The sequence below is a fragment of the Homo sapiens genome, chromosome 6, assembly GCF_000001405.40.
Source record: "Homo sapiens chromosome 6, GRCh38.p14 Primary Assembly".
Lineage (NCBI taxonomy): Eukaryota > Metazoa > Chordata > Mammalia > Primates > Hominidae > Homo > Homo sapiens.
In genome coordinates, this window is record NC_000006.12 from 37,068,663 (window position 1) to 37,093,759 (window position 25,097).

At 47.9% G+C, this 25,097-nt stretch overlaps 1 pseudogene, besides 7 other annotated features; it reads left to right on the top strand.

Moving 5' to 3' along the window:
• Window positions 2,329-2,378: a silencer, noted in NCBI's record as "silent region_17124". NCBI's record gives its function as "represses an Ori minimal core promoter by ATAC-STARR-seq in GM12878 lymphoblastoid cells {active_cell/tissue: GM12878}" and the evidence as "EXISTENCE:reporter gene assay evidence [ECO:0000049][PMID:35858748]".
• Window positions 2,429-2,478: a silencer, noted in NCBI's record as "silent region_17125". NCBI's record gives its function as "represses an Ori minimal core promoter by ATAC-STARR-seq in GM12878 lymphoblastoid cells {active_cell/tissue: GM12878}" and the evidence as "EXISTENCE:reporter gene assay evidence [ECO:0000049][PMID:35858748]".
• Window positions 3,133-3,202: a silencer, noted in NCBI's record as "silent region_17126". NCBI's record gives its function as "represses an Ori minimal core promoter by ATAC-STARR-seq in GM12878 lymphoblastoid cells {active_cell/tissue: GM12878}" and the evidence as "EXISTENCE:reporter gene assay evidence [ECO:0000049][PMID:35858748]".
• Window positions 3,431-3,725: a silencer, noted in NCBI's record as "tiled region #8589; K562 Repressive non-DNase unmatched - State 7:EnhWF". NCBI's record gives its function as "represses a minimal TATA promoter and a strong SV40 promoter by Sharpr-MPRA in K562 cells {active_cell/tissue: K562}" and the evidence as "EXISTENCE:reporter gene assay evidence [ECO:0000049][PMID:27701403]".
• Window positions 3,971-4,265: a silencer, noted in NCBI's record as "tiled region #8119; K562 Repressive non-DNase unmatched - State 7:EnhWF". NCBI's record gives its function as "represses a minimal TATA promoter and a strong SV40 promoter by Sharpr-MPRA in K562 cells {active_cell/tissue: K562}" and the evidence as "EXISTENCE:reporter gene assay evidence [ECO:0000049][PMID:27701403]".
• Window positions 8,763-9,291: an enhancer, noted in NCBI's record as "H3K27ac-H3K4me1 hESC enhancer chr6:37045201-37045729 (GRCh37/hg19 assembly coordinates)". NCBI's record gives its function as "activates a minimal SCP1, AML or CMV promoter by ChIP-STARR-seq in primed H9 embryonic stem cells {active_cell/tissue: H9 hESC(primed)}" and the evidence as "EXISTENCE:reporter gene assay evidence [ECO:0000049][PMID:30033119]".
• Window positions 14,921-15,421: an enhancer, noted in NCBI's record as "H3K4me1 hESC enhancer chr6:37051359-37051859 (GRCh37/hg19 assembly coordinates)". NCBI's record gives its function as "activates a minimal SCP1, AML or CMV promoter by ChIP-STARR-seq in naive H9 embryonic stem cells {active_cell/tissue: H9 hESC(naive)}" and the evidence as "EXISTENCE:reporter gene assay evidence [ECO:0000049][PMID:30033119]".
• On the top strand, window positions 22,565-23,183 carry RPL12P2 (ribosomal protein L12 pseudogene 2; annotated as a pseudogene).

Consider the following 25,097-nt stretch of genomic DNA (forward strand, 5'->3'; position numbering starts at 1 on the left):
GAACGTGGAGACCGAGGGCACCACAACCTTCCGGGATTGTACAACGTGGCCTGCAGCTGGCCCTCACTGAGTGGCACGTGAGATGTGACAAGCAGGTGCTGTTTGCTGGGTAGATTAACTGCATGAGTGCCATCTTCCCTCTATAAAAATCGCTCACATTCTGTGACGGATCGACAGCCTGCACTGTTGCCTCTGAGAGTGAGCTGTGCCCACAGCCCCCACGGGCGCTCCTGTGCACCGCTGGGACATAAAAGCCCACACCCTGGCCACAAGTGCCAGGGCAAAGTTTGGCCTGACACGAAGGCAGACATTTATGGACTGGATATGCGGGAGAGGTAGCCCAGCAAAAAGACTGCCCAGTGGAGACCTTCTACACTGGACAGTGACTTACCAAGCCCATCAGACTGTCTCTCACGGGGCTGCCTGAAAACCAGAGGACCACAAAGTGGGCCACAGGCAAGGGCTACATAGGAGAAGGTAGTGGGCAGAGGCCAGGAGGTGGAAGCCAGGAGGTAGCAGAAGACATCAGGCAGAAAGGATCCATAATTGGCCTTGGCCTGAGCCTCCAAGGACTCCAGAAAGAGGTTCTTCTCCTCCAGGAGGGCTGCTCTTTGTCTGCTGAGGCCCTCCCCGGCTTCCCACCCTGCTGCTTAGCTTTACAATAAAGCCTCATCACTGGAGCAACCAGAGTGGGTCTGTGCTCCCTGCAGCCTGCAGGACCCTCACTGCACATGTGCAAACAGCACTTCACAGTTTACATGGTGCTTTCCCAGGCATTCTCTCATCACAACAAACGTGGGAGGGAGAACACCTTATCCTCATGTAATAGATGAAGAAACTGATGTTCAGAGAGGATATGAGTCCATTGGCAGGTAGATTAGAGAGGAGAAACTCAGAACCAGGTTTGCTGACCTCATGTCCAGGCTGTTTTCATCACACTGAGTGGTCTCCCTTTCCTCCCAGAAGAGGCCTTCACTGTGCTGTGCTACCACTGCCGCTAGCCTTCTCTGTTTGAAGGTGAACTGGCCTTAGTTGCTTCATGTGTTTCAACTTGTCTACTGCAACTCAAATGTGGTAATGCATGAGGGCTTGGTAGTAACATAATGCATGATGGCTGCATAGGTTTTCTGTCCATAGTGTCCAGCACTTGTGAGCATACGGTAGGTGCTCAATAAGTGCTGATGGTTCCAAATGCAGTTTCGCAAAATGTAGAGGTCCAAATCCCACCCTCCGAGTATGGATTAGGATTCTCTGCAGATTCGAAGAGCTCCCCTAGGAGTCTGATCACATTCCAGTTTGAAAATCACAGAGAGAAAGGATGCTTATCCAGCCCCCTCAACTCTCAAAAACATAGCCATGAACCAGGAAATTAGCAAAGATATGTAAACGAGCAACCAAACTGAACCTTATAAATTCCATGCATAAAAGCTGAAGCATCCGAGTCTTCAAGAAACTGCTGTTCCCTCTCTCTGTACCTATAAACCTTTACTTTATATGTAATTCTAAGGAGCTTGGTGAGTTGGTTTCTTAGTCCACAGTTCACTGGAAGCGTGCTTAGGAACAGCTATGAGAAACTGCAAGCTGAGGCCAGGCATGGTGGCTCACACCTGTAATCCCAGCACTTTGGGAGGCCGAGGTGGGTGGATTACCTGAGTTCAGGATTTCAAGACCAGCCTGGCCAACATGGTGAAACCTTGTCTCTACTAAAAATACAAAAATTAGCTGGGTGTAGTGGCACGTGCCTGTAATCCCAGCTACTTGGGAGGCCGAGGCACAAGAATCGCTTGAACCTGGGAAGCGGAGGTTGCACTGAGCTGAGATGGCACCACTGCACTCCAGCCCAGGTGACAGAGCAAGGCTCCATGTCAAAAAGAAAAAAGAAAAAAAGAAAATTAACTGTGTTGTCAAAAGGAGCCCAGCCTTCCCCTCAGTGCTCTGGCATCGCCAGCTGTGCTTGCAGTGATTGCTTCACCACACTCCACGGACAGGGTCCAACCTTCCAACTTGTGTGCTGCATAGTAGTTAACAGCACAGATTTTGAAGCCAGGCTTGCTGGGTTCAAATCCTGGCTCTGCCACCACTGAGTTGTGTTTATTATTCAATTCTGTATGCTATCAGGGTGTGGTGGTTCACATCTGTAATCCCAGCACTTTGGGAGGCTGGGGTGGGAGGATTGTTGGAGGCCAGGAGTTTGAGACTACCCTAGGCAACATAGTGAGACCCCGTCTCTACAAAAAAATATAACAACTAGCCAGCCATGATGGCACGTGCCTGTAGTCCCAGCTTCTCAGGAAGCTGAGGTGGGAGGATCACTTGAGCCTGGGAGGTCAAGGCTGCACTGAGCCATGACCGCACCACTCCCCTCCAGCCTGGGCAACAGAGTGAGACCCTGACTCAAAACAAAAACAAGGCCGGGCACGGTGACTCACGCCTGTAATCCCAGCACTTTGGGAGGCCGAGGTGGGTGGATCACGAGGTCAGAAGTTCAAGACCAGCCTGACCAATATGGTGAAACCCTGTCTCTACTAAAAATGCAAAAATTAGCCGGGTGTGGAGGCACTCACCTGCAATCCCAGCTACTCGGGAGGCTGGGGCAGGAGAATCGCTTGAACCTGGGAGGCGGAGGTTGCAGTGAGTGGAGGTTGCGCCACTGTACAACAGCCTGGGCGACAGAGAGAGACTCCGTCTCAAAAAAACAAAAACAAAAACAAAAACAAAACAAAAACTCTGTATGCTTACCTGTTCCCTTACCCCTTATTCCCCAAAGTGGGGTCCAACAGGACCTGGAAGCTTATTAGGGAGGCAGAATGTCAGACCCAGAGCAGGTGAATTAGGATCATTACTGTAAGACGTTTATGTGCACATTGGAGTGTGAGAAGCCCGCAATAAATAATGTTAAATGAATGAAATTGGGCATTCTAATACATGAAAGTCCCAGGAGCATCAACAGGATAGAGAAGGGTGTGGGAGCAGAGGGCTGGCCCTTGAGGGAAGGAGAGGAGCTTGATATAAAAAAAGAGAAAGTGCAGGAGGCTGAGCACTCAGAAGGACTTGGCTCAGCCACTTTCCCAGCTGGATTCCTTGGGATTCAGTGTCCTCATTGGTGCAATGGAGTGGCTGATGCCCACCTTGCAGAGCTGTGAATAGGAGGGGAGATAAGTACAGAAGGCACAGCACAGGAAGGGCCCTCAGGCTGTCACAGTGGCAGGCTCACACCCTCACCCAAAGCCCTGGGGCCAGAGCTTTGCGGTTTCAGAAAGTTCACCCGATGCATGTGCTGACACTACATAACACTCCAGCAGGGTCTGGGCAGTGCCCTTAATTAAACACAGCAAATTTCTGCAGGAAAATGCCTGAGCAGTGAGAGACAACGTAAAGATTTTTAAATAACCTCACACCAGGTCAGGTCAGGTTTGTGGCCAAATGAGTTTATATCAAACTTGTAGGGGGGAAAAGAAGTCTGCTTTTTTAGAGCTTTTGGTTTTTAGAATTGCAGATCAGGGAGTGTGAAGCTGAATGACAAAGGAGGAGGGGCAGCCTTCGATGGGGATGGTAAGGAGATCCCACCAAGCTTAGCAGGGGATGCAGGAAGGGCTGAGTGGTTTGCCTGCAGGGGCAAGTCCACATGTAGAAGGAGGGGGCAGAAAGCATGCCATCAGCAGGCCAGGTGCGGTGGCTCACGCCTGTAATCCCAGCACTTTGGGAGGCCAAGGCGGGCAGATCACCTGAGGTCGGGAGTTCGAGACCAGCCTGACCAATATGGACAAACCCCATCTCTACTAAAAATATAAAATTAGCCAGGCGTGGTGGCACATGCCTGTAATCCCAGCTACTCGGGAGGCTGAGGCAGGAGAATCGCTTAAAGCCAGGAGTCAGAGGTTGCAGTGACCAAGATCACGCCATTGTACTCCAGCCTGGGCAATAAGAGCGAAACTCAGTCTGAAAAAAAAGGGAAGGAAGGAAGGAAGGAAGGAAGGAAGGAAGGAAGGAAGGAAGGCAGGCAGGCAGGCAGGCAGGCCATCAGAGGCCTTTGAGACAGGAGGGACCCTGCCACACGAACAGTAGGAAGTCACCAAGGCTAGGGTCTGAACAGGAGTATGACCTAATCAAAGACAGAGAGCAACAGATTTGTCAGGCTTGCAAACAAACAGGAAGAGGGCATCCTAGAGTTACCCCATCCCCCGGCCCTACTTGAATTTCTGAGCCTGGGAGGAAGAGTGGATGCACCTCACATACACACGGCCCTCACCAAAAACACACATGAAAAAGGCTCTCATGTTCTATCAGACTGTCAGGGGCAGCCCATAGGGCCTTATCTACTACATAGGCACATGTAAAATTATAATGTATTATAGCAAAAAATTAACATAATTCAAATTTTGTGTGCCAGATGCCATGAACATGTTCTTTTTTTTTTTTTTTCTGGTCTCTAATTCTTACAGCAGCCCTGTGAGGTATGAATCCTTGTTCTATTTTACAGAGGAGGACATGAAGGCTCAGGTTGCCCAAGAAAGTCCAGGGTCACATGGTTGATTCATCTAAGGCCAGTGCCTGAGTGCCCTCCATTGAACAACACTGCTAGGCCAGAAGTCACTGAGGATGACTGAGGCCAAGGCAAGAAAGGGACAAGTCAGAGGGCTGAGATCTGGAAGACAGAGTGTGTCCTGCAGCCTCAAAAACCCCTGATTCACTCTTCGGCTCTCCCCTCAACCTTCCTGTACCCTTATGCTTTGGGTGTATCTCTTGTAAACCCCAGAGTTGGGATTTGTTCTTTATCCATTCTGACAATCTTTATATTTTAATAGGAGCATTTAGTCCATTTATATTTAATGTAATTACAGATATATATGGAATTAAATCTACTCTGTGCTTGCTATTGATTTCATCTGTCCTATGTTCGTTTTTCTCTCCTTTTTTCCCTTTCTTTTGGTATTAGGGTTTTTTTTTGTTGTTGTTTTTTATGTTTTTCTTTTTGCTATTGAATTTTCCCCTCTATTAGTTGGGAGGTTATATGTCCTTTTCTGTTTGACTTTGCCCTCAACTCAATTTTTTGAGAATTAAGTGAGTGTGTGTGTGTAAAGTGTCTTGTACCACTAGTCCTATAGCTTAGGATGGTGTTAGGCAGGCCTGGGTTAGAACCCTGACTCTGGCACGTTCTAGCTGTATATTCCTTTTAGCTGCTTTCCCCTAAGCCTCAGTTTCTGTATCTGTTAAACATGGATGATGGAACCCAATACACAGCTTATTGTGACACTTTAGTGAGCTTACAGGATACCAAGTGTTCTGCCTAAGAGCACAGAAAAAGGGCTCAACAAATGCTTGTCCCCTTCCCCTCTCCAGACTTTGCCTTTCTATGTCCAGGAAGAATTGGCCCTGGATGGAAGCTGCCCAAGAGCCTAGCTGCATAGCTTGGCTTGACCGCAGGAAACCTTCCCAGAAGAAATCTCTCTGGAATGAGATGTTCCCAGGGTACAAATGGTCTGTAGCATCATCAGTGGACAGCACAGCCTCAGTCTGGGAAGTGGGAGGTTGCTGGGAAATTCTGCTGAAATGGAGGAGGGATGGAGTGTAATGATTGGTATCCCACGGGAGACTAAAGAAGTGGAGAGGATTGCCCAACAGTGTGTGTGTCTCCAGCCCTGCCCGGGAAGAGGGGCCTGACTGGAGAGTGGCGGCCTCCTCTTCTTGGAGGCAGGTGTGTCCTCTTGGAGAGCAGAGCAGTGACTCACCAGACTGCCACAGCTTGTTATAAATATCCCCTGAGACACCTAACTCCCTCGGCCCTGGTTCTATATTAGCACAAGCTGCGCTCCATTATTCCATAATTAATTAGGTTTCCTAGGCACCTCAAGACTGGAAGAGGGTGTCCCAACCTGCTGTGGACACAAATATTACAAACTACATGGCAGCCGCGACCCCCAACTGTGAATCGAAAAACGAGTGCATGTGCGCTCCCTCTCTCTCACTTTCTCTCTCTCTCTCACTCTCGCTCTCATCTATTTACCTATTTACAAATCAGCTTTGGGTGAATTTTGCAAGATGAGGGCCAGCCAAATGTCCCCTGTTTGAATAATCCTAAAATTTCAGAGACAGATCCAGTAATCCAAACCAACCTCACTCTCATTTACTTAACCCCTTTGGGGAAACTGAGGCCCCAAGAGGGGATGAGGATCCATACCTCAGAATGAGACCAGCAGTGGCTGGGTGGGAACTCAAGGCTCCCTGCCTTCCCATTGCTTCAACTCTCAGAGCCCCGGTTTTCTATCTGTGCACAGGGGTAAGTAACAGTGCCTGCCCTGAAGGAAGACGGTCAGGAGCATTGAATGGAGGAGAGTGAAGGTGCTCCTGAGTGGCAGCCCAGCCCATGAAAGGCCTACAGAAGTACGAGGTGTCTTCATCTCATCCCTCCTCCATTTTTTCTCTTCCCTGACCAAGATCTTTCTCTGCATCCTTCCATTATACCTGGCAGTGGATACGCATGAAAGATTACGTTAGAAATTGGATTTCATCAGAAGCAACTCTAGGCTTCAGTAACAACAATAGACACCATCTACTGAACACCTACCATGTGCTGGTCAGTTCCCCATACATCATCTCATTTAATCCTCTAAACCCGGGCTGTCTAATATGGCAGTCACTAGCCATATGTGACTATCAAGCACTAGTACAACTGAGGAAATACATTTTTTTTTTTTTTGAGACAGAGTTTTGCTCTTGTTGCCCAGGCTGGAGTGCAATGGCACAATCTCGGCTCACCGCAACCTCCGCCTCCCAGGTTCAAGCGATTCTCCCGCCTCAGCCTCCCGAGTAGCTGGGATTACAGGCATGTGCCACCATGCCCGGGCTAATTTTGTATTTTTAGTAGAGACAGGGTTTCTCCATGTTGGTCAGGGTGGTCTCAAACTCCCGACCTCAGGTGATCCACCTGCCTCGGCCTCCCAAAGTGTTGGGATTACAGGCATGAACCGCTGCGCCCGGCCGGAAATGCATTTTTAAAATTTTATTTTAAATTTAAAAACTGATAATTCCATTATCAGAAGACTTTTAAAACTTTTAAGTATGTTTGGAACAACTTGGGTATGTGAAGCTACTGTTTCCACTCTACATTTTGTGAATGCCTAACTGCACATCAAGTATGTCCAGGGAAAATTTAGTGTCCAAATTGGGATGCGCTGTGAGCTTAAAATCCACACTGGTTTAGAAGACTTACCATTAAAAAAGAGAATGTGGGCTGGGTATGGTGGCTTATGCCTGTAATGCCAGCACTTTGGGAGGCCGAGGTAGGTGGATCATCTGAGGTCAGGCATTTGAGACCAGCCTGGCCAACATGGTGAAACTCCATCTCTACTAAAAATACAAAAATTAGCTGGGTGTGGTGGCGGGCACCTGTAATCCCAGCTACTTGGGAGGCTGAGGCAGGAGAATCACTTGAACCCAGGAGGTGGAGGTCGTAGTGAGCTGAGACCGCGCCATTGCACTCCAGCCTGGGCAACAGACTGAGACTCCATCTCAAAAAAACAACAACAAAAAAAGAGAACAAATGTGAAATATCTCATTCATTATGTTTTTCATATTGATTAATGCTGATGTGACAATAGTTTGGATATTTTTGGTTAAATAAAGTATATTATTAAAATTAATATCATTTGTTTCTCTTTACTTTTTTAAGTGTGCCTAATAGAAAAATTTAAATCACATATGTGTTGGAAAATCTGGTGAAATCTGAAAAAAGTCTGTAGTTTAATTAATAGTATTGTGCCAATGTTAATTTCTCAGTTTTGGCAAATGTGCCTTGGTTATGCAAGATGTCAACCTTAGGAGAAGCGGGTGAAGGGTTTACTGGAACCCACTGTACTATCTTTGTAGCTTTTCTGTAAATCTAAAATCATTCCAGAATGAAAAGTGTAAAATACCCCCCCATTACAAATATAATTACATTACATTTCTATTGGAGAAACATGTAACTCTATTATATTTCTTTTTTTTTCTTTTTTTTTTTTTTTTTTTTTGAGACGGAGTCTCACTCTGTCACCCAGGCTGGCATGATCTCAGCTCACTGCAACCTCTGCCTCCTGGGTTCGAGCGATTCTCCTGCCTCAGCCTCTTGAGTAGCTGTGATTACAGGCGCTCACCACCCTGCCTGGCTAATTTTCGTATTTTTAGTAGAGACGGGGTTTCACCATGTTGGCCAGCCTGGTCTCAAACTCCTGACCTCAGGTGATCTGCCCACCTCAGCCTCCCAAAATGCTGGGATTACACATGTGAGCCACCATGCCCAGCCCGACTCTATTATATTTCTATTACAGAACCTAAAATAGTTCTTTGTGTAAGAGGTATCCTCATCTTATTGATGAGGAAACTGGTGCTCAAAGAAGTTAAGTAGCTGGGTTTTGGACCCATCTGTTTACTGTGAAGCCCTTTTACTTTCTGCAATAGTCCCTTCACTTCTACCTCAGTGGCAGGCACCCACTAGATCTGAGAATTTTCTTGCTGTGGCCTCTTCAGAGGGCACTAGTGTGGGTACGTGGACCCCCTTGCTGTGGTGGGCAGGGGCTAAAGATGGAGAGCAGAGGCAGGAGAATCTGGTGGGTACCATTCATGTGGGACCAATTTGAGGTCTAAGGCTGTAGGATAAAGGGGAAGGGCTGGTAGATTCTTGCATTCGATCGACTAGTTGGTTTCTTTGATCTCTGCCTGACTTTGGAAAGGATCTTAGGAGCATCTGCTGTTGTCGCAAAGAAAAAATTGGCAGGGCTGACAAAGCCTTAGATTCACAGGCACCAAAGGGAAAAATAATGGTGCCACAGGGGTAGAGCCAGGGACCTGTGCATGTCCTCGTGTAGGAAAAAGGCAGGAGGCAGCAGGCAGCAGGCAAGCTCTGTTTCCAAGGTGCCTCATTACACTTCCACCCCTCTAACTTCATACATGGGAATTCTCCTTCCCGATGTAGAAAACCTGCCTCCTGACCTGCAGCCACACAGCTCGGTCACCACAGAGCTAGGCAACCCCATTCCTGTCTAGTCCTTCTTTTCAACATGGTCCTGAGACTGCTCCCAGTTCCAGCCCTCCCCAAGAGCAAGAGCACTGTGCTTGGAGTCCTGAGTACCTGTCTCTCTGCCAGACCTGCCCCCTTCAGCCTAAAAGGCCTCTGCCAGCCAGGGCACGACTCTGCTGCATCCAGAGGGGCCAGAGCCAGCCCCGCCAGCAAGCAGCACACCGTCTGCGGCCAGCCGCCCACCACCTTCCCACTTCCAGATGTCTCAGAGGAGCCCTGGCTGCCTTGGAGCCCGCATGGGCAGCCCTGTCCTGACATGCCCCTGCCCCTTTGCTGCCCTGCCTTGCACTCTGTCTCGCGGCGGCCAGATGTGCCGGCTTTGGTGCTGGCGGCTCTTAATGAGGTCCAGATGTGCAGCTTGGCCCGGGCCAGCAGCGGCTGCTACCAAAGGAGAGGGAGGCCCTGTGAGGGAGCAGCCAGGCTGCAGCTGGCCGCGGCGGTGCTGGAGGAGGAATGCTCTGGGAAGGATTCCCACTGGAATGTGGGCTCTCGGGATGTCTCTGCCTAAATAAGGACCTAGCTTCTTCTTGGAGCTGGAGGCCCCAGCTCCTCTAGGTGCAGCAGCACTATGAAAGTGTCTTCAGCTGTCCCTGGATCCTTTTCTTGACGGCTGGCTTTTTTTTTTCTTTTTTTACTAATTTTAAAAGTTATATAGAGCCGGGCGTGGTGGCACGTGCCTGTAATCCCAGCTACTTGGGAGGCTAGGGCAGGAAGATTGCTTGAGTCCAAGAGTTCCAGGCTGCAATGGTGCTATGACTGTGCCTGTGAATAGCCACTGAACTCCAGCATGGGCAACAGAGTGAGACCCCATCTCTTGAAAAAATAAAATAAAATGTTATATACAGTGATGAAAGGCAATTTAGAGATCCCAAATAACCTAAAAGACGAAAACAAAGAAGAAAATAAAAATCACCTATAATCCCATGGCCTCAACTACTATTAAAGTTCTGGCATGCATCCTGCTAGACGTTTTTCAAATACAAATATACATAAGTTTATTTGTTTAAATCATGCTGCAAAGACTCTCAAAATCTGCATTTTTCACTCAACTCTTTCCAGTTGTGTCTGCTACACAGGTATTTCCCAAATTGGCTCCACAGAACACTAGGACCATTTTGCTATTAATTGGGAGTCTTCCACGAACTGTTTGAGATGCATAGGCTTATGCCAACTTAAATGGGCTGCTTTGCTGAAGGACTTCTTGGAGTCTCTAATTTACTAATGTGTGTTCTGAATCATCAAGCAGAGACTGGCACTTCTTAAACACATTTCACCATGAAATCCCTTGAGGGATCCTCTTGGGGCTTGAGTCTATGGAACATCATGTAGGAAATGCATTATTCATCATGGCTGCAGAGAAGCCAATTGCATGCGTATGCCATGGTTTATTCCAGCATCCCTCAATGGATGAACATTATTATGGTTGTTTTCAACTTACTGCTATTATAAATAACCCTGTTATGATGAGCATTCTCATACTTCCATCTTTTTTTTTTTTTGAGACGGAGTCTCGCTCTGTCACGAGGTTGGAATGCGGTGACGCGCTCTTGGTGCACTGCAATCTTCACTTCTGGGGTTCAAGCCATTCTCCTGCCTCAGCTTCCCGAGTAGCTGGGACCGCAGGCGCCCACCACCACGCCCGGCTAATTTTTTATATTTTTAGTAGAGACAGGGTTTCACCATGTTGGCCAGGATGGTCTCAATCTCTTGACTTTGTGATCTGCCTGCCTTGGCCTCCGAAAGTGCTGGGATTACAGGCATGAGACACTGCGCCCGGCCACATACTTCCATCTTTGTTGTACAGAAACATTCCAAGGAATAGGACTGTTGCTCATGTTGAAGACCATTTTAAACTCTCAGGTTCTAGGCTACACATGGCTCTTGCCCCAGCTCCTTATTTAATCCTTGCATGCTAGGGAAGGGGTCTACCTCATTAGCACAAAAGGAGGCATTGAGGAGGATGGGAAGTGTGGTCTGTGAGTCTTTATCCATTTCTTGAGCACTTGTACTACACTGGGCTTGGGGATTGTAGTGAAAAATAACTTTTCTTGGCCTATCATAAACAACACTGTAATGAACAACTATTATTTTCCAAAGAACCATTGCAACCAGAGAGTGAAACCACATTTGGGGTGCAGAGAATCTGTTCCTGGGTCACCTATGAGGCCATACAGCCCTGTAGCGCCCCTAGGTGCCTAGCAGGGGGACGGAATCTGTACAATCCCTGAGGTGCTAAAGTGCAGAATGAAGCTTCCCTGTTTAAGTGGGAATACAGTAAGCACATCACAAGCATAGCTCAGACATGGGCAAGACTTACCACTTATGTCTTCCTCCATATTCTTCCCTTTGATCCTCACAACACCCTTGTGAAGCAGGGAGTATAGACTTAAGTTCATTCTACAGATAAGGAAACTAAGGCTCAGGGCAGGAGACTTGCCCAAGGTCGCACAACTAAGTAATGGGGAGAAACTAGACTCCAGTGACACCACTCCATGCCTCTAATCAACATTATCACCTGATGAACTGCACATTACTGTCAGCAAAGAATGCATTCCTTCCTTTACAAGGGGCTTTGTCAACATGGGATGTAGGACCCAGGTTTTTTATTTTTTATTTTTTTTAAGAGACAGGGTCGGCTGGGCGCAGTGGCTCACACCTGTAATCCAAGCACTTTGGGAGGCCGAGGCAAGTGAATCACCTGAGATCGGGAGTTCGAGGCCTGCCTGGCCAACATGGTGAAACCCCGTCTCTACTAAAAATACAAAACTTAGCTGGATGTGGTGTCCCGTGCCTGTAATCCTAGCTACTCAGGAGGCTGAGGCAGGAGAATTGCTTGAACCCAGGAGGAGGAGGTTGTGGTGGGCCAAGATTGAGCCTCTGCACTCCAGCCTGGGCGACAGAGCAAAAATCCGTCTGAAAACAACAACAACAACAACAAAAACAGGGTCTTGCTCTACCCATGCTGGAATGCAGAGGCATGATCATAGCTCACTGCAGCCTCAACCTCCTGGGCTCAAGCCATCCTCCCGCCTCAGCCTCCTGAGTAGGTGGAACTATAGGTGTGCTACCTCCACACCAGCTAATTTTTAAATTTTTGTGCTGGGCAAGGTGGCTTACGCCTATAATCCCAGCACTTTAGGAGGCAGAGGCGAGCAGATCACTTGAGGTCAGGAGTTCAAGACCAGCCTGACCAACATGGAGAAACCCCATCTCTACTAAAAATACAAAATTAGCCAAGCGTGATCTTGCATGCCTGTAATGCCAGCTACTCGGGAGGCTGAGGCAGGAGAATCACTTGAACCTGGGAGGCAGAGGTTGCAGTGAGCCAAGATCGTGCCATTGCATTCCAGCCTGGGCAACAAGAGGGAAACTCTGTCTCAAAAAAAAAAAAAGAAAGAAAGAAAGAAAAAATTTTTTGTAGAGATGGGGTCTCGCAATGTTGCCCAGGCTGGTCTCAAACTCCTGGCCTCACGTGATCCCCCGGACCCGGACACTTTGATTGGGAGTGGAGGAAAGAGCCCAAAAGGTCTGGAGCCTGTGGCCTGAACCTCAAGGCCACTCCTGGCTGTGTGTGTGTTTTCTTTGGTGGGGAGGTGGGGTGGAGAAGGGAGGGAGGAAATGAAAAGAGAGCTCTTCAGAGAGGAGCAATACAGTCATAAATAGGTATCACTGTCAGGGAGCAGCTCTTATTCATCTTTGCATCCCCAGCGCCTTGCACATAGTAGATGCTCCATGCAGGCTCCTAAACTGAAGACATAACCCCCAGCCCCTGGGATGATCTCTCCCGTGCTCAGTCCTGCATGGAGACCTGTGTGTATTCTCTTCTTGGCTCCCCTCACACTCATCCTAACTTCTCTTGCCCCATCTTTCTCCACACTCTCAATCTCCAATGTCTGCCCCTTCTCACTCCCCTCCCCTGCCAATCACTGAAACGTCAATTAATTGAGACTCATGTCCCTTAGAAACAAACTCAGGTCTATAACTGAGGGCTCTAGCTAAGCAATTCTTTGATCTCAAGGACTCTTTCTAGCTGGGGCTCTAGACCGTATTTAAGTATTAGGTTTCTTTTGAAAATCTAAGCAAAGGTAGAGATCCCAGGAAAATACCCACCCAGCAAAGATGTGCCTTCGGTGTCAGGAGTTCACGTCTGGACCTTCTGAGAGCTGTGGTTGGGAGAGGCTGTCCTGGTGGACAGTGCAGTCCATACCCCTGTGAGGCAGCGGGTTTCTGCAACCTTCCCTCTGCGTGGGAGACTACTCGGGATTTGTCTCCCACACAGCCAAAGGCTTGTCCAAAACTAACAGGTCCACCATCCCTTATTCTCAATTTCAAAATCCCTGAACTTCTGAAAACCATATGATAAAACAAGTTTTATCATAACACATTTGACTGCAGAACTTAACCTGACATGAACTTATTTGGCAACAAAATGGCCTCCAACTGACGCAAGGCTATTTACAGCCTTTATTTACACCATTTAGTGTGTGAATATTCATGGACTTTGCTTAAAAATATTTATGTGTTTACCAGGTGCTGCCCCAGATCCTGCGGTGGGTATTTCATAATATACAGTGTGCGCACCATGGCTTTTTTCTAAACGGTGAAAAAATCTGAATTCGGAAACCTATCTGGCCCCAAGGGTTTCAGGTAAAGGACTATGAATCTGTAGCTATAAAAATTTCTCCTAAAAAAGTTCACAGGCTGGCTGGGTGCGTTGGCTCACGCCTGTGATCCCTGCACTTTGAGGGGCCGAGGCAGAAGGATCGCTCGAGCCCAGGATTTCAAGATTGGCCTGGGTAACATAGTGAGACCCTGTCTCTACAAAAAAAAAAAAAAAGTTAACTGGGCGTGGTGGTGCGCACCTGTAGTCCCAGTTGCTCGGGAGGCTGAGGTGAGATCGCTTGAGCCTGGGAGGTTGAGGCTGAAGAGAGCTGTGATCATGCCACTGCACTCCAGCCTGGGTAACAAAGCGAGACCCTGTCTCAAAAAAAAGAAAGAAAGAAAGAAAGAAAATCATTCACAGGCTTATGAGCAAAAGAAGCCAGGGAACAAATGGGCACCCACCGTATGATTCCATTTATATGAAGTTCAAGAACAGGCAAAGCTGATTGTTGGTGGTAGATCAGAACAGCGATTACCTGTCGGGGGCGAGACTGATGGACAGGAGGGAGGTGAGGGAACATTTTAGGGTGCTGGAAATGTTCCGTATTCTGATCTGGGTGGAGATTGCATGGGTACATACATATGTAAAAATTTATCAAGCTGTACAGTAAAGATGAGTGTGCTTTGCTGTGAGTCTGTTATACCTCAAAATAAAAGTAAAAATAAAACTTACGGGAATACATTATCTCAAATTAAGCAATAAGAAGCTGCTCCCTTGGCACTCCAACCCACCCTGCGATATCTTCTAACTTCCCAACAAAGCTTAAATTAAAATGATCTTAATATAAGTTTGGCTTTTCTTTAATCCCCAGAAATGAGTTTAACACAAAGTCACTTTTAATGAATATTTTTTAAACTCTGACTTGCCCTCAAGAAGAATCCATCCCTGGAGCAGATCTTTGCTTTGAAAGTGCTGCAGGATAGCACCCAGGCCTGGTTCCCTTCACCCTCTCCACTCTCAGCACCGCCACCAGGAAGGATGTCTCCTGGCCCCACTGCCTCCAGGACGGCTGCTGAAAACATACCAGCCAGGCGGCATGCAGGGACCCAGGCCTGGCATCCTACCCGATGTGCTGCAAGTCAGAACTTGCACCCAACAATATCCTGTAATTGCATCTGATTAGCTGGAATTTGGAATCTGTACTTGAGAACAGCAGGGCACAGGAGACTCCTTGATTAAACAGGTCAGAGAACCATACGCTGCTAAGAGGAACGGGGGAGCCTCTTCCCGCAGCAGACTCATTGCTCAACATCTGATTGCACATGGCCTTGTCCTTTGACACTCACTCCCACAACAACCCTACCCCCACCTTCCTCCCATTTCCTATCTGGGTCCTGGAGCTCAGCCCACTGGGGCCTTGCTTCTCTCTGTGGCTCCACTCCTGACTGGGTTCAGCCCACACGCCAGCCTTCCCCCGCTCCAGCCACAGGGCTCTGGTCTGATGGCCTCAGGCTGTCCTCGCCTGCCTCAGATCCTTTGAGGAACAATTCAGGGTATAAACAAACCGACTTACTTGGACTTTTTCCTCATCTTTCTAGCACAGTGCTGTCCAACAGAACCTTCCATGCTGATGGAAAGATTCTATATCTGCTTTGTGCAATGTGGTGGCCACTATCAACATGTGGCTATTGGGCACTTGATGTATGGCTAAGTGTGAACGAGAACCATATTTTTTATTTTTATTTTTCATTTTTAATTATAGCTGGGCATGGTGGCTCACGGCTATAATCTCAGCACTTTAGGAGGCCGAGGAAGGCAGATCACCTGAGGTCAGGAGTTCAAGACCAGCCTGACCAACATGGCAAAACCTCGTCTCCACTAAGAAATACAAAAATTAGCCAGGTGTGGTGGTGTGCACCCGTAATCCCAGCTACTTAAGAGGCTGAGGCATGGAATTGCTTGAACTCAGGAGGAAGAGGTCACAGTGAGCTGAGATGGTGCCACTGCATTCCAGCCTGGGCGACAGAGTAAGACCCCTGTCTCAAAAAAATAAGATAAAATAATACAATGCAAATATTTGTGGCTATTGGCTACCACACCGAACAGTGCAGCTCTAGAGAGAGGAAAGGCATGGGACTTAACACTCCTTTAACCTAACCTAGTGGCCTGGTGTCTCAGGAAGGTGTTTTGTCTGCTCTTTGAAGATACCCAGCCCTCATCTCTCCAGCTCCCAGATCTGTCTTCTTGTAGAATAACTGAGCATTTTGTTAAGCTCCTAAAATGTGTCAGACATTTTGCAAATGGAACCCAGATGTACTGGACCACCTGGAGGCTCGTCCCAGCATTCAAAAAAGGCTGAGATTCCAACGCTGCTTAGAAAGCACCATAGTAAGTCTCTCCTAAGAGTCTCTTGGGGAAGCACAGAGAGGAAATTTTTTCACAAAACACAAGGGGCTTCTATCCCTGCCCAAGTCCCAGTCCTCAGCACAGCAGTTCAGCTTCTCTCCTCCCACACCCCAAACCTAGTTCTGTTGCTGTCTTCTTGCTCTGTCACTCAGGCTGGAGTGCAGTGGTGTGATCTCGGCTTACCACAACCTCTGCCTCCTGGGTTCAAGCAATTCTCTTGCCTCAGCCTCCCAAATAGCTGGGACTACCAGTGTGCACCACCGTGCCTGGCTCGTTTTTGTATTTTTAGTAGAGATGGGGTTTCACCATGTTGGCCAGGCTGGTCTTGAACTCCTGACCTCAACTGATCCGCCCAGACCAGGCTGGTCTTGAACTCCTGACCTCAACTGATCTGCCCGCCTCAGCCTCCCAAACTGCTGGGATTACAGGTGTGAGCCACCACGCCCTGCCTTCATCTTTTCTTATTCAAAGAAATTTGATCTACTCTGGATTTTGCTCTGCCTCACCTCTCTTGAAACAGCATACAAACACGCCAGCTGCCACCCTTCCTCCTTGGCAGGAGAAAGAAGACAGAAGTGGCAAATACTTAGTATGTAACTCTTTCTCCTTTTAACCCTGTTACACAAGGTCGTGATTATCCCCAGTTTACAGATGAGGAAACAGTGGCACTCACTAGTTTAGGGCACACTGCTAGGGAATGGAGAAATCACAACACAAGCCCAGAGCTGTCAGACTCCTGAACAATGTCCTATGCCATCTGTCCCCACTCTCTGATGATAAAACCCCTACCGATGGCTGATGACTAAACCAATCCGCATTAATTTAACCAGCTACCTTGGGCTGGGCGCGGTGGCTCACGCCTGTAATCCCAGCACTTTGGGAGGCCGAGGCGGGCAGATCACAAGGTCAGGAGTTCAAGACCAGCCTGGCCAACATGGTGAAACCCTGTCTCTACTAAAAATACAAAAATTAGCCAGGCATGGTGGCACATGTCTGTAATCCTAGCTACTTGGGAGGCTAAGGCAGGAGAATGGCTTAAACCCAGGAGGTGGAGGTTGCAATGAGCCAAGACTGCGCCACTGCACTCCAGCCTGGCGACAGAGCAAGACTCTGTCTCAAAAACAAACAAAGAAACAAAAACCTGCTACCTTTAGAGCTCCTGGATTACTCCACCCCAAGGAAATTGTTTTTTAACCAGGAGAAAAAGACTTGACCCAAGAAGTGACTCAGGATCTCAAACCCAAATTTCTCAATCTGGACTTCAAGGCTTAGCAGGGCATGCTTAGCCTCCTCGCCTGTCACCTCCCAGTTGTGACAAGGTGAGCCTGTTCTCCAACTCATACCAACTCAGCTGTCCACCCAACCCATAGCCAGGCCCTCCCTACTACTAAGCAGGATGATGCTTCTCTCCCCCTTTTAAAATCATGATAAGCTGGGTGTGGTGGCTCACTCCTGTAATCCCAGCACTTTGGGAGGCCAAGGGTGGGGGGTGGATCACCTGAGGTCAGGAGTTCGAGACCAGCCTGGCCAGCATGGTGAAACCCCATCTCTAGTAAAAATACAAAAAAATTAGCTGGGTGTGGTGGCAGTTTCCTGTAATCCTAGCTACTCAGGAGGCTGAGGCAAGAGAATCACTTGAACCTGGGAGGCGGAGGTTGCAGTGAGCTGAGATCGCGCCATGGCACTCCAGCCTGGGCAACCAGAGCGAAACTGTGTCTCAAAAAAGAAAGAAAGAAAGAAAGAATCATGATAAAATACACATAATATAAAATATGCCATTGATATCATTTTTTGGTGTACAGTTCCGCAGCATCCACATTGTTGTGCAACTATTGCCACCATTCATCTCCAGAACATTTAAGCTTCCCAAACTGAAATTCTACACCCATTAAACTGTAACTCCCCATTCCCTGTTTCCTCCGGCCCAGCCTCTGGCAGACACCATTCTACTTTCTGCTTCTATGGGTATGCGCCTCATATAAGTGGAATCATACAGTATGTTTTTGTCCTTTTGTGTCTGACTTATTTCACTTAACATAATATCTTCAAAGTTCGGAAGTTCTGTTTCTGCTTTCCAGGTGTGGTGGCTCACGCCTGTAATCCTAGCACTTTGGGAGGCCAAGACAGGCAGGTTGCTTGAGGTCAGGAGTTCGAGACCAGCCTGGCCAACATGATGAAATCCCCTCTCCACTAAAAATACAAAAATTAGTTGGGCGTGGTGGTGGGTGCCTGTAGTCCCAGCTACTTGGGAGGTTGAGGCATGAGAATCACTTGAACCCGGGAGGTGGAAGCTGCAGTGAACAAAGATCGTGCCACTGCACTCCAGCCTGGGCAACAGAGCAAGACTCCATCTCAAAACAAACAAACAAACAAAAAACATACCAAGTTTCTATTTTAAGCTGAATAATATTCCATTATGCAAATTCCTACTTTAAGCTGAATATTATTCCATTATGTGTATATGCCATATTTTGTTGATCCATTCATCTGTTGATGGACACTTGAGTTGCTTCTACCATTTGATTATCGTGAATGATGCTGCTATTAACATGAGCATATGAATATCTGTTTGTGTCCCTGCTTTTTTTTTTTTTTTTTGAGACGGAGTCACGCTGTCGCCCAGGCTGGAGTGCAGTGGCGTAATCTCGGCTCACTGCAAGCTCCCCCTCCGGGTTCACGCCATTCTCCTGCCTCAGCCTCCCGAGTAGTTGGGACTACAGGCGCCCGTCACCGCTCCTGGCTAATTTTTTTTTTTTTTTTTTTTTGTATTTTTAGTAGAGACGGGGTTTCACGGTGGTCTCAATCTCCTGACCTCATGATCCACCCGCCTCGGCCTCCCAAAGTGCTGGGATTACAGGCGTGAGCCACCGCACCCGGCCGTTCTTGCTTTCAATTCTTTGAGGTATATAACCAGAAACTGAATTGTTGGATCATATGGTAACTCTCTTTAAGTTTTTGAGGAACCACCATGCTGTTTACTACAGCTGTTGCTCCCCTTTCAAGCTCATCCCACACTCCTCTGCTGCTCCCCTTTCAAGCTCATCCCACACTCCTCTGACATCTCCTACATTAGCTGGCATATTAGCTGTCGCACTTTAAAATGTGATACTGAACTCATTTCTCCTAACCCAAGGGTCTGGAGGAGACTCAATGGTGACGTGCCATGGGGCAGGTTTTGACCTGGTCCATTTCAGTGTTTGTGCTAGAAATTCTAATAAAAAGCATGTAGGTCTGCTAATCAAATATAAAGATGTTGCAAGATGAGAGGTCTACCACACGCAGAATGAAGATTTTAAAATACTGTGACAGGCCAGAGTGATGAAGCTATAAAAATAGCTTTTTTTCATTGAGTGCCATGATAGACCAATTGCAATGCTAAGTTTATTTCCTTTATATACCATTCATTGAAAGATCACAACTCTTTAAGATCAGAATTTTTTTTTTTTTTTTTTTGAGACAGGGTGTCATTCTGTTGCCCAGGCTGGAGGACAATGGTATAATCACGACTCACTGCAGCCACAATTCCCGGGCTCCAGTGATCCTCCCACTGCAGCCTCTTGAGTAGCTGGGACTACAGGTGCACACCATGATGCCCGGCTAATCTTTTTTTTTTTTTTGTAAAGACAAGGTCTGGGTTGGGCATGGTGGCTCATACCTGTAATCCCAGCACACTGGGAGGCCGAGGCGGGTAGATCACCTGAGGTCAGAAGTTTGAGATCAGCCTGGCCAACATGGCAAAACCCCATCTCTACTAAAAATACAAAAATTAGCTGGGCGTGGTGGTGCACGCCTGTAATCCCAGCTGCTCAGCAGGCTGAGGCAGGAGAATCACTTAAACCTGGGAGGTGGAGGTTGCAGTGAGCCAAGGTCACACCACTGCACTCCAGCCTGGGAGACACAGAGTGAAACTCTGTCTCAAAAAAAAAAAGAGAGAGAGAGACAAGGTCTCACTATGATTGCTGGTCTTGAACTCCTGGGCTCAAGCAATCCTCCCACATCGACCTCCCAAGGTGCTGGGATTACAGATGTGAGGCCTAGTTTACAGTTTTTATAATTTCATATAAATGAAATCATACAGTATGGACTTGTTAATTTTCATCTGGCTTCTTTACTCAGCATAATTATTTTGAGATATATCAATATTGTTCATTGTCATCGTATCAATACCTGTTCAAGTGGATCAGCAGGTTTTGTTTTGCTCAAATTCTATGGCATGGATATACTATAGTCGATGTATTCACTGTTGATGGACATTGGCTATTTCAAATAAAGCTGCTAGGAGCATATGCCTTAGAATGGACATATGCTTTCATTTATCTTGAGTAAATATTTTGGAGTGGAATGGCTAGGTCACATGAAAGATATATCTTTAACTATTTTTTAGGAAACTGCCAACTGTTCCAAAGTGCCTGTTCCATTTCATACTCCCACCAGCAGTGCTGGAGAGTTTTAATGCTCCACATCCTGGTCAATACTTGGTGTGGTCAGTCTTTTTAATTGTAGCTATTCTAATAGATGTGTAATAGAACACTTTTTTTTTTTTTCTTTTGAGACAGAGTCTTACTCCGTCACCCAGGCTGGAGTGCAGTGGAGTGATCTTGGTTCACTGCAACCTCCGCCTCTTGGATTAAAGTGATTCTCGTGCCTCAACCTCCCAAGTAGCTGAAATGACAGGCATGTGCCACCACATCTGGCTAATTTTTGTATTTTCAGTAGACAGGGTTTCGCCACATTGGCCAGGCTGGTCTCGAACTCCTGACTTCAAGTGATCTGCCCACCTTGGCTTCCCAAAGTGCTGGGATTACAGGCATGAATCCCACCGCGCCCGGACAGAGATCACTTTTAAACGAATCATATTACAAATCAAAAAGTGTCTAGAGGAAAATGCTAGAAGGCACAGGATCTGGAACCAGAGCCCAAAGGAAAGGGGGGAGGGGAGGTTAGGGGGATGGGTATCTGGCTTAGAGAAAGGAGGTTATCTTAAATATCTGGAAGAGGGATTACATTTGTGTTTAGAAGATGCACTAGAACCCAGAGGGAAAAGCCAATGGGAAACAGACTTTGCTCCATCAAAGGACTGTCTGATACGGCCTTTCACAGGCAGAATGAGCTTTTCAAGAAGTGAGATCCCTGTTACTGGAAGTGTTCAAGCAGCAGAATTTGGAGGCATCCCCTCTCAAGGACTGTCAATTCACATTGGTTCTGTACCTACTATGCTCTGCAATAGGGGCAGGGCTGAGAAGATACAAAAGCAAAGTTATCACGCTTTTGCCTAAATAATATCATGTGATTAGGGCTCTGGCTAAGGTATGTGCAAGGGTGATGAGAGGGAGAGGAAGGTGGAGCTTCCCAGAGGAGGCGACACTGCAGCTGGGTCTCAGGCATGCAATCAGACACCATGAAAGAACTCCTTGGCAGGGTTGGGCACATCCCAGCACTTTGGGAGGGAGGCTGAGGCAGGAGGATAGCTTGAAGCCAGGAGTTCAAGATGAGCCTGGGCAACAAAGCAAGACCTCATCTCTACCAAAAAAAAAAAAAAAAAAAAACCTAGACAGGGTGGATGGGAGTTGGGGTTAAATGACCTTCTATTTTCTAAGATTCTAAAATTAGGCTACATTTATTGCTAGGCGCGGTGGCTCACGTCTGTAATCCCAGCACTTTGGGAGGCCGAGGCGGGCGGATCACGAGTTCAGGAGATCGAGACCATCCTGGCTAACACGGTGAAACCCCGTCTCTACTAAAAATACAAAAAAATTAGCCGGGCGTGGTGGCGGGCGTCTGTAGTCCCAGCTACTCGGGAGGCTGAGGCAAGAGAATGGTGTGAACCCGGGAGGCGGAGCTTGCAGTGAGCAGAGATCGTGCCACTGCACTCCAGCCTGGGTGACAGAGCGAGACTCCGTTTCAAAAAATAAATAAATAAATAAAATTAGGCTACATTTATTAAACAACCTAAAAGTCCAGCAGTAGGGTCCTGGCTATATAAATTGAGGTCTATCTTTAGAGTAGAATAATATTCATCTGAAATATAATCTAGGATGTTCTTTACATACTGATATAGAATGATCTACAAGACACACTAGGTGAGAAAAGTAAGGTTCATACACTGTGTGCCATGGGCCAAACTTTGAATTTTTTTATTTTTATTTTTTTCTATTTTTATTTTTATTTTTATTTTTTTTTTTTTTGAGACAGTCTCGCCCTGTCGCCCAGGCTGGAGTGCAGTGGCGTGATCTTGGCTCACTGCAACCTCTTCCTCCCGGGTTCAAGCAATTCTCTTGCCTCAGCCTCCCAAGTAGCTGGATTACAGGCATGTGCCACCACACCCTGCTAATTTTTTTGTATTTTTAGTAGACATGGGGTTTCACCATATTGGCCAGGCTGGTCTTGAACTCCTGACCTTGTGATCTGCCCACTTCTGCCTACCAAAGTGCTGGGATTACAGGCGTAAGCCACCCCACCCAGCCAACCTTTGAATTTTTAAAAGGGGTCTAGCGGGCTTTTCGGCTCTCAGCTCAGAGGAGGCCAAGGTGCAACTTTCTTCGGCGGTCCAGAATCTGTGTTCATCCAACACCAGCCGCCTCCACCATGTGGCCGAAGTTCAACCCCAGCGAGATCAAAGTCGTATACCTGAGGTGCACTGGGGGTGAAGTCAGTGCCACGTCTGCGCTGGGCCCCAAGATCGGCCCCCTGGACCTGTCTCCAAAAAAGGTTGGTGATGACATTGCCAAGGCAACGGGTGACTGGAAGGGCCTGAGGATTACAGTGAAACTGACCATTGAGAACAGACAGGCCCAGATTGAGGTGGTGCCTTCTGCTTCTGCCCTGATCATCAAAGCCCTTAAGGAACCAAGAGACAGAAAGAAACAGAAAAACATTAAACACAGTGGGAATATCACTTTTGATGAGATCGTCAACATTGCTCCACGGATGCGGCACCGATCTTTAGCCAGAGATCTCACTGGAACCATTAAAGAGATCCTGGGGACTGCCCAGTCTGTGGGCTGCAATGTTGATGGCCGCCACCCTCATGACATCATAGATGACATCAACAGTGGTGCTGTGGAATGCCCAGCTAGTTAAGCACAAAGGAAAATATTTCAATAAAGGATCATTTGACAAACAAAACAAAAATAAAAGGTCTAGTGACACACACACATGCACGCGCACGTGCATGTTTTTACTGGCGTAATCTAATGTCCCTGGGCCACATGGGTTGCCTTTGAGAGGGGAAGCAGCTAGGAAACAAGTCTGTGAAAGAAACTGTATTTTACATACCCTCCTGTGCCCTTAGAATTTTAACTGTGTGAGTGGGTTGCCTATTTAAAATAAAATGAAAATAAAACTAAAAGAAACCGTTTTGAAATAAATTAAGGCCGGGAGTGGTAACTCACGCCTGTAATCCCAGCACTTTGGGAGGTTGAGATGGGCAGATCACCTGAGGTCAGGAGTTTGAGACCAGCCTGGGCAACATGGTGAAACCCCGTCTCTACTGAAAATACAAAATTAGCCGGGCGTGGTGACGAGCGCCTGTAATCCCAGCTAGTTGGGAGGCTGAGGCAGGAGAATCGCTTGAACCCAGGAGGCAGAGGTTGCAGTGAGCTGAAATGGCATCATTGCACTCCAGCCTGGGCGACAAGAGCGAAACTCCATCTCAAAAAAAAAGAAAGAAAAGAAAAGAAAAGAAAGAAAGAAGGAAGGAAGGGAGGGAGGGAGGGAGGGAGGGAGAGAGGGAGGGAAGGAAGGGAAGACACCTCCCTAGTTCAGCACGCGGCCCCATCGTGCGTTCCTTTCCCAGTGTCCATCTCTCTCTGTTGAACCAGGCCTGTGGTGAGTCTCCCCCTCAGAGGGGCCTCCCCAGAGAGCTTCTATGGCATTCCCACCTCCCTAAGGCCTGCAGCATAACCGACTCCCAGGTGAGGCGGATGAGGCTGGTCATACACCACCCTTTGCGTAGGGAGGGTCTAGAGCTCTGAATGCTCTGTGATGAGGCTCACGGGTTAAGCATCATCAGGTCTGGAGAAGCTGCCCTGGTCCAGAAAAGAGGAGGGGATGCAACAGTGGAGGTTCTGCCAGAGAGCGAGGCACATCTCTCACTGATCTGACCTGGGCCCCTCAGCCCCTGGTTTCCATCCCCACCCACCACTGTTCTGGGGGCAGCACAGACTGGCTTCCCCAGCCGCCTGCCTGCACCGAAGAAAGGCCCAGACAGTAGTGGGACAAAACGGCACCCCATGAGGGCCCAAGGGGTGAGTGCGGAACATGGGCTGGGATGCAGTGGCCTAGACTTCACAGCTAAAGAAACGCCTTTCCTCTTTCTCACAGGCTAACGGTGGCTCGTGGCTGCGGGCCATCAGCCCTCCCTGAAAATTCAGAAGCCAAACCAAACCTCCTTCAGCCAACAAAACCAGACAGTGTCTGACACAGCCTCTTTCTCTCAGTAAAAAGCAGACGTCTTGGATCCAGGTGTGGCAGGACCACCTGCTCTGGCGGAAGGCCAGTGGCCCTCCAGTGGGGGTCTCCTCACCCACCCAGGACAAGAACTGACCTGAGAACCTAGAAATCAAGCTGCTAACACCTCCACCGCACCCCTCGCCCCAGGGGACAAGGTAGTTTTCCAGGCCACACACGTGGGTTTCCCTGATGAGGCATTTTTCTGTATGACAAAACCCTGCTCTTGGCCGCTGCCAGAGAGAAATGAATGTGGACTGTGGTGTGAGGGAAGCCAGCAGGTTTGTTCCCCTCAGGGCTGCCACCACCCCTGGCTGGAGCAGGTGGGGGCCTACAGTGACCACTGGAGGGGTGCCAGGAAAGGGACCCCTCCCCCTACATCATCCCCACACACCTGTGACCATTCCTGAAATTGCACCGTGCACATTCATTCTTGGAGGATGAGAAATTGCGTCTCTTAAAATGTTTCCACCCACAGGAGAGGTAATACATTAAGCTGTTATCAGTCATCTACACCTTAATGTGAATTAGTTGATCAGTCTTGGAATGCTACACCTGGAATGAGGCCTAGTTCAGCCCCTTTTT